Genomic DNA, 16,626 nt, shown 5'->3' with positions numbered 1-16,626 from the left:
AAAATTGCTACAACCACCCCAACCTTCAGTTGAAGAGTAAAATAGAGCTGATAGATTAAGCTCCATAAATCTACAGGAATGCAATGTAAAAGGGCAACAAAGAATATGTGGGGCAGAGCTAGAAGACATCAAGGATGATCCAGAATTTTTCACAGCTATCTAGTAATAGTTACAGAAGTAGAGCACGGAAGAAACTGAGGCAAGGATAGAGTTACAGAAACAATAGAAAAAGCTTCCCACAGCTGAAGAAAGCCCAAATCTTCAGATTGAAAGAATCAACCAAGTGCTGAGCAGGATGAATTAATCAAGACCTACATCTTCAGGTATCGAGGATATAAAGTAAATGCTAAAAGTCTTGAGAAAGAAAAAATATGTTGTCTATCAAGTATTGAAAAATAAGACTGTCAACCAAACTTTTTACTGACAGCATTGAATGTAAAAAAAAAAAAAAAAAAAAAAAAAAAAAAAAACAGAACAATTAACTCCCTCATTCTGAGGAAATATAATTTTGAATCTATAGCCTTAGACCCACTTTTTATGCTCAGAATTTCATCATCTACCTAATATGAAGACCTACAGGAAAAACGGTGAATCTAACAGTAAATCTTGTTTGAAAAGCAAGAAATTCAGTAAATCTTAAGTTTAAATAATTGGTGATCATATGTAAAAATAGTAGCATTTGAATCAAAAATTATAAGTTATTTCAACACGGAAGTTCTCAGCAGGAAGTAAAGTCACAATACATATTTTTTTCCATATTTGTGGAAGAAAATAGATACCAATTAAATGAAGACATAATAGAGAAATATAGCTACATCATCGGAAGTTCTTCTCTAACTCTTCAAGTATCCCATCCCCAGTCCCTAAAGCAGAAATTTTTATCTTCTTGGAGATGTTCTGGGAAATTGTTCTAGAAATGTTCCAGGAAGCTTTAGAAAATGTTCTGTCATTCAACCCACTCTGACTTCTCCCCACAGAACTGTGTTATCGATTAAGAGCTATAGGTCCAGTGTCTGGGACCCATGAATATGTTGAAACTGAGGGGGAAGAAAAGTGCTTTCTCCAAAAGAAGAAAGCTGCAAAGTTGAAATTTTAACAAATATATAATCATATGCTTAAAAGCATTCCATATATTAACTTTATTAATTACTAAATGTGATATTGAAAAATTAATTACTTTTGGAAACAATTTATAGATTTCATCAGAATATCTCACTCTGCATAACAATTGCCAAGAAATCACAGCTAAGCATACATTTTAGAATTTATTTAGGGCTAAATATTTTTCAGAACCAAAATCACAAAAGCGTTTTGAAGATTATTTTTAAAAATTATATCTACATTATAGATACATATAAGGGAGTATGTTTAAATCCATTTAATTTGCATATAGGGCCTCCTAAATAAGGATTGCCAGGGTCTGCAAAGTTCTTATTTTTATTTATTTATTTATTTATTTTTGAGACAGAGTCTCGCTCAGTTGCCCAGGCTGGAGTGCAATGGCGCAATCCAGCTCACTGCAACCTCCACTCACTGGTTCAAGTGATTCTCCTGCCTCAGCCTCCCGACTGGGATTACAGGCACCCACCACCATGCCTGGCTAATTTCTGTATTTTTACTAGAAATGGGGTTTCACCACGTTGGCCAGGCTGATTTTGAACTCCTGACATCAAGCGATATGCCTGCCTTAACCTTCCAACGTGCTGGGATTACAGTTTGAGCCACTGTGCCTGGCTGCAAAGGTCTTGAAATAACCTCAGGGTGTTTTATCTAATTCATGAGGCTGGGTAGAAGCTATTAATGGTTCTGTTCATGGCTGGAAGTTGCTCATGCACTCTTTGCTTCCTGCTGCTGTTAAACATTCCTATTTAACCAAGAGGTTAGCTCACCTGGGCAACCCCCTTTCTCTCTGCTTCTCTTCTTACATGGGTATATTCAATTTGTAGGAGAGAGGTGAGAAGCCTTGTTTCAGCCTCAGCATCAGTTTCTTCTCCAATCCACTTTTAATTTCTAACAGGATTCTATGTCTGTTTCTTGGTGAGCCTAAAATCTAAAGAGGAAAAGGGATAAGCAGTTAGCTCACTCAATGTTCTCAATAAACATTTTTACTAAATGCTAAGTGTATTTATAGATACAATAGAAATGTGATATATAATTTTCAAACCATTAGAAGAAAGAAAGAGTAAAGAAAAATCAAATGTTCCGACAAAAAGTCGGAAAAAATACAATCAGAAAGCACAGAAAACAGGAGATATAGAAGATGTCAGGAAAAATGTCAAACAGGTCATTAATTATATGTGCAAATTTTTAGGTATAATTTATAAATTTAACTCAATATGTATCATATATATGATATATATCAGATTAAGTGAATGCAAGTATTATTAGATCTACAGTGACACATTCAACTGTATTTCAGTGAGAGAATTTACACCTGAAATCATATGAAAACAAATTCAAACCAGCTAAATTATTGTATTCATTGTTCTTAATAGAATTGCACATCACAAATTCAGAAGGACTAATCAACAAATATCTGCAATTAGAATTTACTTTAAAAGTATCATAGACTAAATTTTTATTTGGAAGACATAACAATTATATTGCATTTAAAGAGATAGCTCTGGCAAAGAAAAGAAAAACTTAAAACTGGAGGCCTTGTTTTTCTTAACTGTTGTTCTTCTAAAATCTTCACATTTGTGTTGTTGAATCTCTACCACAAAGCAAACTTGGGGAACTACCATAGGTTTTCATTTCAAAGAAATTATGTTTATGCTAAACTGTCCTCATAACTGAACAAATTCCCTAACAACGTGATATATGAAGGTTATTTTGACATAGTTTAGTATCAGCCCTTTGGAATTAGGAAGCACAAGGATTTCAGAAACATTTTGGGATGGTATCCTTGTTCTGCCACTTGCAATATGTGACCTTGAGTAAATTACTTAGATTTTCTGAGCTTCAGTTTCCCCATCTATAAATTAGGTTAGAAACAAACCACCTAAATAGATTTTTTGTAGGAATTAGATGAGATAATGAATACAAAGCAAGTGGACCGTACTTGGCTCACAGTAAGTAGACAGCAAATAGTACTGTATATTAATTTTTAAGGGCTGCTTATCATAACAAAGCATCACAATCAGGGTGGCTTAAACAATAGGAAGTTATTATCTCATGGTTCTGGAGGCTGGAAGTCCAAGATTGAGGTGTCAGCAGGGTTGGTTTCTTCTGAGGGATGTGAGAAAAAATGTTCCATACCTCTCTGCTTGGCTTCAGAGGGCCACCTATTCACTGTCTTCACATCATCTTCTCTCTGAGCATATTTCTGTGTTCAAATTCTCCCTTTGTATAAGGACACCACTCATATTGGAGTAGGGCCCATCCTAAGGACCTCACTTTACTCAGTTACCTCTATTAAGACCCTCTCTTCAAATCAGGTAACATCCTTAGGTGCTGGGGTTAAGATGTCGACTTATGAATTTGGGGAGGGGGACACAATTCAGCCCATAGTTTGTACCTTTCATTATTATTCTATCTAAATGTTAGTATAAAATAGGGAAATTTTTATTTTAAGTCAGGTCAAAACAGGTAAATGGTATGAGAAAAGGATGCAGAGGATCTGAGACTTCCACATAAGAAAAGCAATTTCCTCCCTTGACTCTTTCATCATCTCCCCTCTTTCCACAAAACACTCTGCTTGGGATACCACAAAACCAAGGAAGTTCACTGTAGATGACAGTCCTTGCCCAGTGCAGAACTCAGGGCACTTCTTTGAGTCATCTTGTTAAAGGCTGGCCCTAATTCTATTTGTATATGGCTCAACCTCAAATACCAGCTATAGATGGGTGCTTTAATTTAGGCTAATGAGTGGCATTTGTGGTCATCCTCCCCTGGAGAAACCTGAAACTGCAGTTTCTGGCAAACAGACAGCTATGAGTGTATCTTTAATTAAAGGTTTTCCTTAGGAAAACTGAATGAGTCTTTTCACAGGAGAGAGTTCATTTTAAGAATCTAGGCAATCCTAATATACAGATAAAACAAAAGATAATGTTATTTCATCTGTTTATGAATATCTCTCTCTATTGTGGCAATCTCTTAGCCACGAAATCTAGAGAATTAAAATGTTTTTCCTTGTACAAAGTACCCATCTCTGTGAGAAGAAAATGGTAAAATCCTGGTGCTATTGATGATAAACTTTCTCCTTCTCTACAAATGAGCTGAGAAATTCAGGGCAAAAGCTGCAAATTCAAGCAATGAATTCAGACAGACTTAAATTTCAGATCTGCCCTGGTGGTCAACATATGAGCTGTCTGTATTCAGGGTAAAGCCTTTTTTTTTCCTTCTTTTTTTTGGCAAGAATACTGAGTGTTGGACTATTTGCCTTGCATATTTTTAATACTTGAACCAGCTTATATAGAATATCTTTAAACAGATATGCATTTATCTTCTAAGAACAAAGTACTCACTTGACTGGACAAAAGTGTAGGGAGCAGCTTAGCTCTCAACCCTCCAAGTTGCTAGTAAAGATTATAAAAATTTTCTTTATTCTGTTTTTACTACATTGGTAGAATAAGGAAATGTATGTTAACCTCTCTCAAAATGGGATCTCCCAATGCAAAATTCCTGGAATTTGTTTTGCTGTCCAGACTCCAAACTACAAAATCAGTTTCCCAGTAGATGTACCTCTTACATGTTACACAGAGACAGGGGATGGCTGGAAAGAACACCAACTTTGGATTCACGTAGCCTCAGGTTTTCATCTAATGCCATAATTTATCAGTTATCCCTTTGGGAAAATTGCTTAACCAGTCTGATCATGTTTCTTCATTTCTAAAATGAGCTAACCACCATTGGTGTTTGGGGGTGTAACAACAGCTGTGAAACTCCAACAGCAAAGGTGTCAGTGAGGAAGGAGAGAAAATGCTAATTCTAAGGATAGACAGCTAAAGGGTTGGTAACCTGAGTGCCTTGCTGCTCAGAGGGACATTTTGTCCACAGGCCAAATGGTCAGTACTTGAAGTAAGAGGGAAGGTTACTACTGTTTACTGAGCATCACTACATACCCGAGATCATGGTAGGCACAGTCACATAATGAATCTCATTTGTTTCTCATATGAACCCTAAGGTGGCGATATCATTATCCTGATCACATAAACGCTAAGTAAAGCACATTATTCAAAGCCACAGATACATGAGATATGGAGCCAGGAATTAAAATTGTATCTGTCTGACTCCAAAGCCTATGGTTTTCCATAACACCAACCTGTGTTAAATAATAACTTTAATAATAATAATAAATCTGTTCCTGCAGAGTCTAAAGAGAGGCTGGACCTCTTTTCCCAAAACCATCTTCCCCAGCTCAGGCTTTTCCCAGCTCCCAAGTACCTGCTTCTTAACTGTTGTCAGATACTCCTGATGTTGTGCTTCTCCATCTTCCCAACTTGACCTTTGCCCTCCGCAATCTCTTGTCTGGAATTTTGAGTCACCATTTTGCCTTCACCATCCCGTTGTTCCTTTTTGACTTCTCGTGTTGCCAGGTTTTGATTCTGTCAAGTTATCCCTGGAAAAGTAAGACACAAGGGAAATGTTTGGAGTTCAGAGAAAGGGTTTTTCACCCTGCTCACTCCTACTCTTTTAGACCTCAGCTCTTTCAGAAGATCTACATGAGCACCAGGCCAGCATACGGACTGCCTTACAAGTTCTCCAAATCTGTCCTGCCTATCCCTAACGCAGCCCTTAGCAAACTCTGTTAGATTCTGCTCATTCACTTGACACTATCTCCCACCAGAGTATGAGTTATTGAGGGAAAGTATTTAACATACTCATTATTAGTTCCCCAGAACTTTAGTTTGCACTCTACCCACATACTAAGTACTCAACAAATACTTGTTGAATAAATGAAAAGTTATTGCACGGCATTGAATGAAGCTCAAGAAACATCAGTATAGCTTTAATAGTTTATTTCCACAGATTCCTCATGTAACAAGTGGAGTTATCTTAAAATGGCTTTTGGCGATTCATTTTAAATAATATTAAGACAGTGATCAAAATGTGGAGTATTTTGTAAATGGCAACCTTTAAGAAGTTAAAAGCTAAGTTTAAATCTTTCTTCCAAAATGTATGATATGCTGGCTTTTCCTTGCGATGAAAAAACCATGGTTAGATGATGATAATGTCCTCAGTTTAATTTGAAGAAATGTCCAATTTGTTATCATCTTATTTCCTTCCCTCTTTCTATAATCTTAAAGCATTTTTATTTTACCACTGCCTGTCTTAGGTATTCTCCAAGTAATAGATACAACATTATCCAAAGTTTATTCAAACTTATCTGAACCTTTTGGGGCTAGAAATTAGGTGGGAACTGTTTTCTTCATAAGATTTCTAGTGCTTTTTGGCTTTGAAAGCCTGGAAATGCAACAAGAATAGCTTTTCTTGTGGTATTTTGGTTTCTACTCCCAACCAAAACCAGGAAGTGCAGAGATGCACAAAAATTAAAATAAAGGGGAAAAAGTTAACTCAACTTTTTGAACCTCAAACATGATCCAGGTTCAATTTCAGTTTAAGGCAAAGGTTCAACTAAGATCTTGTTTTATCCAAACCACTTGGAACTTCCACTGAAATGACTGGTGGGCTCACATATGGAATTCTTTTCTAAGGCAAGAAGAAAGGGAATTGCTGGTATATAGAATCATTATATCAATAGGATGTTGTATGGTATTATTGTGATAAGAGAGTTGTTCACAGGATAGTGACTGCAGTGAAAGCAGAGAGTCTTACCAGTCAACTTTTATGTCTCAGAACTCATCTTTAAAAATATATATATATATATTTGTGTGTGTGTGTGTGTGTGTGTGTGTGTGTGTGTGTGTGATCCTTGAATAATGTGAGGGTTAAGGGTGCTGATCCCCCAGGCAGTCAAAAATTTACATGTAATTTTTTGCTCCCTAAATACTTAACTACTAATACCCTACTGTTGACTAGTGTGTGGGTCCACCTATACATACGTTTTCTTCTGCCTCTGCCACCTCTGAGGTAGCAAGACCACCCCCTCCTTTTCCTCTTCGTCCTCAGCCTGCTCAATGTGAAGATGACCTTCATGATGATTCACTTCCCCTCAATAAAATAGTAAATATGCTTTGTCTTCATATGATTTTCTTTTTTTCTTTTTTTTTTTTGAGACAGAGTCTCACTCTGTTGTTCAGGCTGGAGTGCAAGGGCATGATCTCGGCTCACTGCAACCTCTGCCTCCCAGGTTCAAGTGATTCTCCTGCCTTAGCCTCCTGAGTAGCTGGAATTGCAGGCATGTGCCACTATGCCCAGCTAATTTTTGTATTTTTAGTAGAGACAGGGTTTTGCCATGTCGGCCAGGCTGGTCTCGAACTCCTGACTTCAGGTGATCCACCTGCTTCAGCATCCCAAAGTGCTGGGATTACAGGCGTGAGCCACCATGCCCGGCCTTCTGTATGATTTTCTTAATAACATTTTCTTTTCTCTAGCTTACTTCATTAAAAGAATACAATATATAACACATACAACATACAAAACAGTATTAATTGACTGTTCATGTTAGGCTTCTGGTCAACAGTAAGGTCAATTGTATATATTTTATAAGCTATGACTTTAATGAGATGAGCTTTGTCCAGCTGAAATGCAATAAGTTTCCCACTTCTTTGGGAACATGAAAATAAAGAAAAGTTGCTGTGTTACAACTCCTTTTTAGAACCAAAAGTTTGCTTTTGCATTGATTTGATTGGTTAATGAGTCTTAGGAAGACTGTGAGAATTCTGCCTAAACAGTGAAGAAGGGTGACTGAGATTTAAAAAGCAACTGTTCAAACCATTAGGATGGTGGAATGTTGAAATGCTTGAAATTGTAGTTAATGTTTTGAGACTCTAAAGTTTCAGTGAGCACCACATTTTATCCATATACAGCCAAGAACAGAAGAGCAGTAGGGATTTATGAATGGTAAAAAAACCAAGTTTGCTATAAACTGCAAGTGGATAAAAACAAGATTCAAACACTCTGGAATAATTGGTATCCTAAGACGAGTCTTCGGGTTAGATTTATTAGCTGCTCTATTACTGGAGAACAACTCGACTACAGGAACCTATTTCCCTGATAAATGCCAAAGGAAATAAGTAGGGCTATTTTTCTCTTAGAATGTGTCTACATGAAACAGGAGTTGGCCAAACAAGCCAACTTAGTCAATTCACTTGAAGAATGTCCATCAAAACATTTGCTTGACACTGATTTTAGTGATTTCACTTTTCTTTTTTTTTTTAAGCATATTTTAAGTTCTAGGATACACATGAGGAATGTCCAGGTTTCTTACATAGGTATACATGTGCCATGTGGTTTGTTGTACCCATCAACCTGTCATCCACATTAGGTATTTCTCCTAATGCTATCCCTCCCCTAGCCACACACCCCCTGACAGGCCCCAGTGTGTAATGTTCCCCTCCCTGTGTGCATGTGTTTTCATTGATCAGCTCCCACTTATGAGTGATAAAACATGGTATTTGGTTTTCTGTTCCTGTGTTAGTTTGCCGAGAATGATGGTTTCCAGTGTCATCCATGTCCCTGCAAAGGACATGAACTCATTCTTTTTATGGCTGCATAGTATTCCATGGTATATATGTGCCACATTTTCTTTATCCAGTCTATCATTGATGGGCATTTGGGTGGGTTCCAAGTCTTTGCTATTGTGAATAGTGCTGCAATAAAAATATGCATGCATGTATCCTTATAGTAGAATGATTTATAACCCTTTGGGTATATACCCAGTAATGGGGTTGCTGGGTCAAATGGTATTTCTGGTTCTAGATCCTTGAAGAATTGCCACACTGTCTTCCACAATGGTTGAACTAATTTACACTCCTACCAACAGTGTAAAAGCATTCCTATTTCTCCACGTTCTCTCCGGCATCTGTTGTTTCCTGACTTAGTTGAATTGGTGTCACTTAGACTCTACCACAATCAAATGCCTACACAGAATGATGTTATATTAAGAAAAAAAGATCTAAAATTTGAATCTTAGTTGAGTTTTAATGCCCTTGCAAAAGGATACTGATAAAATTGCCTCAGTTATCCATCAAATATTAGCCTCAGTACAAATGCCTCCTGAGCTTACTTTGTTATTACATTCCTGATATTTCGACCATAGTCATTCTCCCAAAATATTTAAGTGATGCGTGTTTAAAGTACATTTAGGTATTAATACCTTATCGTTTATGGCTTTGAATAAGGGATTCCTATATGTATTATTTTGGATAATATATTAATAAATTGCTTGAAATGCTATGTTTTTCAGGACAAGTTACAAAGATATTGGATTGGATAGCTATAGAGGTTGTTTTGTCAAATATCACCAACATTTTCAGGATAGTTGCTGATAAAATGCCTAGTGATGTTCTGAGATATTTCTTATAACTTAATATGTGAGACTCTTTCAACAATCTTTGAAGTTCTATAAAATGTAAGGTGAATTATTAACATCTATCTCTTCTATTTGAAGATATGATGATAATATACCAAATTAAGTGTGAGAAAACCCACAGCAGTGCCAGGTTGAAAAATAAAAGGTGGTATAATATTCTAGGGCAAAAATGTATGTTGGTATTGGTAGACAAGAGGAATCAGCCAGTTGTTTCTAGTTATCTATCACACAAAGATAAAGGTTTCTAATATATTTTGGGGTTTTCCTCAAACACAGAGGGAGTACCAGGTAAGCAGAGGATGTTCCTAAGAAAATCTGAGCAGTGGAGAATTTGGATGCATACTCTTCATTTCTTGAAGATTCCAGTTTCAATCTGTGCAGCCATGCCTCTGAACTTGCTTTAAAAATTCTTTGACTCTGGGTGGAAATGGAAAGTAGACCTTTTGTAGAACTGCCTTAAGTGCCAGGTTAACAAGATGCCAGACTTTTCAAGGAAAGTGGATTTCCCTTGTGTGTTCTGGCTTACAAAATCTGTCTCTTTCATTTCAGGAATAAAATTGTCACACCTTCTAAATAGCAGAATAAGCCAAACTCAACAATCAAAGCCTTGTTTTTCTGTGAATGATCTTGAGCAGTCCCTTGAGAAAGAGTTGGGTGGAGAATATAAGCGTATAAATAGAGAACAAAAAGATTGGCTCATCTTACTATGGTAAATATTTCATCTGTCTACCTCTATTGTAAAGTACATATATATATATATTTTTTTTTATTTAAGTTACAAAATACTGGTGGAGTAACAGGATCTTAGATGTCTCTTTATTCAGAATGAATAAAGTAGAGAAAAAACAACCAAGGGAATTTCCCACCCATGTTTATATCAAAACTAACCAGAGGTAATCCCTTAGAAGTGGAGGATATTCGGGTCTCTTAAACAATCAACTTCTTTGGGGGACCTGGCTACAACATGGCCCAGTTACACTGATGAGTTAGTTCATGATACCAACTCATCAGTAGAAATGACTAAGTATTCTTGGTTAGAATAGGCCTAATACCTATCCTCAAAAACCACAAAAAATTATCAACACCTAATAGTTCATATTGTGACTGCCCCAAATCATTTTGTCATTCAAACACGTAAGTATGTTAAGTGCATGTGGGTATATATATATACACACACACTATATGTATATGTATATGTAATTATGTGGTGTGTATGCAGAGAGGTTGTCAGAATTGATCCATAGTGTTTCTAAAGAATCACTTACCTCTATCAGAAAGATATAAACATGCAGTAAGTTAATATAAAGACAGAAACCTGAGGATTATATGAAACCAAATAAATCACAGCAACTTAAAATAAAGAGACTTTTAATATTTAGTTTATCTGCTGCCATGTGAAATCAATATGTCTTACTTTAAAAAAAAATTGGAATGGAGAGAATCAAAGGATGACCTTTTTTTTGTTATTGGTGTTAATAACTGTGTTCCATTGCCCCATAGCTATTTAGTAGTATTAGAAGAACACAGAGGAGGAAATGTTTTCTAAGGGGACTGTGTTGAAAGGTTGTAGTGAAGTTTAACATAGTTTTGGAAGCTCAGTTTCACTTATTTTGTCTGATGCATATATATGCATAAGATCAGGTTACTGAGAAAGAAAGAAATACACTGCTCTTTTCATTGCTCAGACAAAGAATGAATTACAGCTAAAATTTGGGGTGGAGGCAAGGGGAGGGAATGAGTGCAATTGGGGGAGTCAGGAGAGATAACTTTAGCCATTCTGGGATAGCAAATGATTGATTTGCAGAGGCAGCCCTTCTCTCCGTTGGGAAGAACCATTTTCAGACAGCTCAGTCAATCCAGATTCCATCAATCCAAATTCTTCCTGTGATGGCCCCGACATGTAGTGCAGGCCTCTATTTCAAGACATCCACACTGTATTACGTATGGCGAGCTCTATCATCAACACAACTGTACGTATCTCAAAACTCGCATCAACTAGATATTTGTGTACCTCATTGTTTTTCACTGTGTGTAAATTCATTAAAACAGGAAACATCTTTTAAGGTAGTTATGAGGCTTTTAAGGTAATGTGGATTTAAATCAAAGCACAGCTCAACAGGGCCGTTTCTCAAGTGGTATATTGCTTGAATACAAAGACTATGTCATCATAGTATTTCTCTTTGATGGACCATTCTCTCTACAGAATCCATGCTTAGAACATATTTGGTGAATAGAATTTAATCTTGTTTTAACATTTAGTTTTTATCAAACAGCTACTCTTAAGGTATAGTCTAGATTCTCTGAGATTCCCAAGACCTTTTCAAGGGCCTACAGAGTTAAAAACTGTTTTCAAGCTAATACTAAGATGTGATTTGCCTTTTCATTGAGTTGACATTTGCACTGATATTGCAAAGGCAATGATGGGTAAAATTGCTTGTGCCTTAGCACAAATTAAAGCAGTGCCACCCATCTGTACTGGGAGTTATGTTGCTCATCCTCACACATTTGCAACCGAAAATGTTGCATGTCTTTCACTGAAGAATGACATTGATAAAGCAGTAAACATTTTTAATTTTATGCAATCTCAAATCTGAACTCCTTAGACTTTCTGATACTTGATGAAATGGGATGTATTTCTGAAGGCTACATATTGAAGTAGGAAGGTTATACCAAATACAAGTTCCATGATGTTTTTAATTTGTTTTGTGAACTGAACTTGCAACACTTTTTCCAGAACACAATAAAAAATTACCTGAAAGACCACATTGTAGACAAACTATTCAGACTTCAGCATTTGGTAGACAATCTCTCAAAAACAAAACAAAACAACAACAACAACAAAAAAAGAAACTCAAGTTATACATCATTAATGTATAAAAATAGAAGCTTAATCAATAGATTTTGATATAATAGAGCATGAAAAATTCATTGACATGGTTCCAGATTCCACATTGCAACTAACCTTTAAGAAACTAACACTTGATGAGTTTGGGGATAGTATCAAATCATATCCATAATTACCTGAAAAGCTTAAAAAATACTCCTCTTCTTTCAATTTCATATAATTCAACCAAAACAACATATCACAACAGATTGAATGCAGAAGCAAATATGAGAATCCATCTGTCTTCTATCAAGCCAGAACTTTAAAAGTTGTGCCATGCTATGAAACAATGCTAATCTTCTCACTACAGCTTTCATTTTGAAACATAACCTTTTTTTTAAAATTCTAAAATATGTGATTTATGTTAATCTGTAATGGATTTCTTATTTCTATTTTAAAGCATTAAGAAATGAACATTTTAAACTTTCTTAGTTTTAGTTTCCAATATGGTAAATATTATATAACCCACTTAAACAAAAGCTCTTTGAGGTCCTCAAACATTTTTTAAGCACATCCTGAAACCAAAAGGCTTGAGAATTTCTGCTGTAGAGAAATGAGGAGACAGGTTTGCCTTCCCAGGGAATCAACAAATTGCGAATTATTAGCCTATAACTTATTGGTAGAAAATAATAAATATCTTGAAAAGTGGTAAAGTTACCACAAGAATGTAATTACAGTGTCTCAGATGCTGATATCACTTTGAACTCAAAATCTGGTAAAACAAATGATTTGAAACACCTAAGATACAAGATAAAAGAAACCTACCTTGAAATAAAAGTAATGAAGCATTCCAGAAAAGAGTTCATCAGTCTCCTCCTTAATTCTTTACTTTTAAAAAGTGGATTTAGAGATTATCTCCTCATTTTTTGTCACGTTGCAAATTTTGCAAGTAAATTTAGTTTTCAACCCTTATTTGTAAATTAGAAAAGTTTAAGCCATTGACTTTCAAAATATCAGTCTTCCTATTGTAAATATTGGTTTCTTTGGATTTTCTCATTTCTTTCTTTCCTTCATTTATGCCAAAACTATTTATTGTTCTCAACTGAACAATACACAAAAAGTTAGTACAGTCAGTAACCACAGGGTCATAAGCCCTGGATAATGGGTAGCAGAGAATACATGCAGAGATGAACAAGAGATGCCCTTTATACTCGAAATGCTTCTGGGCAGTATTTGAATACAAATTGATTTTACTACTGTATTCAAGTTTTCCAAAATGATTGCCCCACACTTGAAGCCTTCAATCTGAATTGATAGAAAACCTCAGAGGAAGTGACCTCATTAAAAATATAGTTCCTCGTCATTGACAAACCGGCATCACCCTCTTCTCTCGTACCTATACTTGGTCACCTCCCCTGGTTCTTCACTCATGCAGGAGGATGTAAGTTATTTACTGTGATTGTGAAGAGGAAATATATGGATCTAGTTTTCATATCCAAAATTTGTACTTACTTTAAATCAGTATGTAGTATTAGTGATTTCAGTTAAAACAACTCACAGACATAGTTGTTGGCAACCCTCATGCATACCTGGGAATGCTGCCTAAAAACCAAAATGCTGCAAAAGTCATATGCATTTCAGTCACACTCTGTTTCATATGGCACCAATAACAAATACTGCTGGAAAGCATTTTCAAAGATCCCAGGTTCTCTTAAGAATTCCAGGTCTAATTACCAAGTAGGCTGGACGGTCTAAAAACATTTATGGATATTCACTTATGACATAGTAATTACCAGCTAATTATGAAATAATTATACAGGGCCTTTTGTTTTTGTGCCTGGGAAATGAATATGCTAACTACTGTATATTTTAGTGAGGGATAGGATGTGTGATGGGTAGAGAAATATCCCCTTTGCATTTCTTTTTCTTGTTTTTTTTCCCCCAAAAGACAACTCATGGCCAAGGATAATCATCTTTCTCTATTACAGCAGGATCCTGTGTATGATCTACTTGACTCTCCTTCTTTGTCTTCCACTTCTCCCTGACTATTTCATTCCATCAAAACCACAGAGAAGGAGAGGAGGCCAGTTTCAGCACCTCTGCCTCCACCATCACTACTGAGGAATGCTCTTACTCACTATAACCCAGAAGCAGGAGTAGAATCTCAGAGCACCCATGGAAAAAGGCAAGAGGCAGCTGTCTGTGAGCTATGTGCCACTCTGACTCCCCGTAATCACCTATAAAATGAGTCAATCATCAATAGGTAGAGGGAAGCCATTGAATTCTTCTTGTATTCTTGACTGAAATACTATTAAGTCAGTATCTTACAGTTCCTCTTTCTGAAGATGGCTTGGTTAGTGATATTTTAGGAAAATTAAATTGAAATGGACACTTAGTTATGCCACAAGAGCACAGATAAGATGTTTCTTTTTTAGGGAACATGGCATAGTGGTAGAAGAAGCTTAGAATTAGAATGTAGACAAAGATGGGGTCAAATCCTAGCTACATGAGCCGAAGAAATGTGTTTAGCCTTTCTAAATTTAAATTTACTTATCTGTAAATTGAGAATAAAAATATCTCTCAGAGAGATTCTTTGAGGATTAAATGAGTGAATGAGGAATAATTCCTTTTGATGAAGTTACTTTCCTTTCCTTTCTTTTCAAATGATAGTTCTCTGCTAGCTCTCTCAAAACATTCCAAAAGCACATGATATTACTTGAAATCTGTTTGCCACATGTAATGGATTCCTCTGCCATGGTAAGAATCCAATAGGATGGTAATCATGATTTTAATATTATTTCTTGCCATAGATTTTGCTGTATTTTAATAGAAGGAATCATTCCACTCCAGTTTAATTTAATTCAACAAATAGGTACTGAGTTTAAGCCAAATAAAAAACAACAACGACTACAAAAACGCAGTGCTTACTCTTTGTAAACATACAAGAGAGGAGAAATAATCAACATGTACACAAACCACAATAGTGAGTGATGGAACATGGAAGTGACTCAAAGATGTACACATGGTGCTAGAAGAGTTCTGGCAAAACAGATGCCTGTGAACAAATGTGAGCCTGAAGGAACTAATCCTTCAAGATGTATCCCAAGTGGCTAACTGGGCCTGAATTTAAAATACAGCCAAGAGACCCTTTGCTAACTAGACGTCACGCATGCACTCAGTTCTTTGAAAACCTGCAACCTTGAAAAGGGATTTTCAGGGCTCATCTGCCTCAGCCATCAGAGCTCAGCTGCATCAATAAATCAGAACTAAGCAAGTTTCAATCCTTCATTTGCATAAGCAAACCTGATTGGAATATGGACAGGAACTTCTGCCATAAAACATGAACCCTTTCTTTGTTCTCTAGAAGGTACCCTCATCTTACACTGAAAGTTGCATCTCACTGTTTGCAAACTGTTCATTGGAATAAAGTCTCTTTCCTCCAAATTCCTTTTCAGAGAACTTTTGTTCACATGCTCTGACATGTGTCTTCACATTACTCCTCAACCATGAGTGCCTTTGAAGTGTTTTTACCTGCCATAAACACACATATAGAGCTAGGACTCATGGTGACTCCATGACACTTCATTAGAAGTTTTTCAGGCTGGTCAATGTGGTAGAATTCCCCCCACCTTTCACCCCATCGTTAGCACTCAGAAAATGTGTGGAAAACCTGAGTTCAAATTTTAATACAAATTAACACAATGCTGTAGACCTTTATCCTCTCCCAGAGTCAAAATAGCTTGTCTTTCATTGAATTTAGGGGGAAAAAAATTGGTAAATCTATATTGCTCCATAAACAGTATGGCACAAAGTCTGTTGCAATTCTGTGCAATTTTCTGTAATCATGTGTACTTAAGTGAAATTTACATTATCATTATGAGCTGCACTATGGAAATGATTCTTTTAGCCTACAGCTATTAGAACCATCCTGGTGCCAGGACTAAGTTGTCAGCACCAGGGGAAGCAATTTCATCGAGTTTCTTCTTACACGGACACACGGCTCCTATTAGCACATATGCCTCCTATTTTGTTTTTCTTCCCCAGCTCATGGAGTTTGCCTCTGAGTGGAAATGAAAACAATTTCAAGAATGAAAAGTTTCAGCTTGTTGCTAAAAATATCTCCAATCATCAGCAGGGGAGGCAATTCCTCAACCACTTGCAACAAAGATGACCTCTTTGCCAGGCTTGGCCTACAGCAGGAGGTGTCTACTCATGAGCTCCTTTTACATGGGCTCAAAAATAAACAGCCAGTTCCTCTGGCTGGCCTCCCTCCTTGAATGGAGGCAGGGAACGTTCTGTACAAGGAAACCTTCTCCCACCAAGCTAGAGGCCAATCCTAACCAAGTCAATTGAAGCATCTGAGATA

At 36.4% G+C, this 16,626-nt stretch overlaps 1 long non-coding RNA gene across 1 annotated transcript in view; it reads left to right on the top strand.

Moving 5' to 3' along the window:
* LOC105369711 (uncharacterized) overlaps positions 1–12,340 on the top strand; it is an 81,818-nt gene extending 69,478 nt beyond the window's left edge. Inside the window, exon 3 of the long non-coding RNA XR_931467.3 lies at positions 9,986–12,340. This is a non-coding gene — a long non-coding RNA (uncharacterized LOC105369711). The remainder of the gene's footprint in view (positions 1–9,985) is intronic.
* Positions 12,341–16,626: the final 4,286 nt, after the last annotated feature.

This window comes from Homo sapiens, chromosome 12 (assembly GCF_000001405.40).
Source record: "Homo sapiens chromosome 12, GRCh38.p14 Primary Assembly".
Classification (NCBI taxonomy): Eukaryota; Metazoa; Chordata; class Mammalia; order Primates; family Hominidae; genus Homo; species Homo sapiens.
This window is presented reverse-complemented; position numbering and strand designations above follow the sequence as displayed.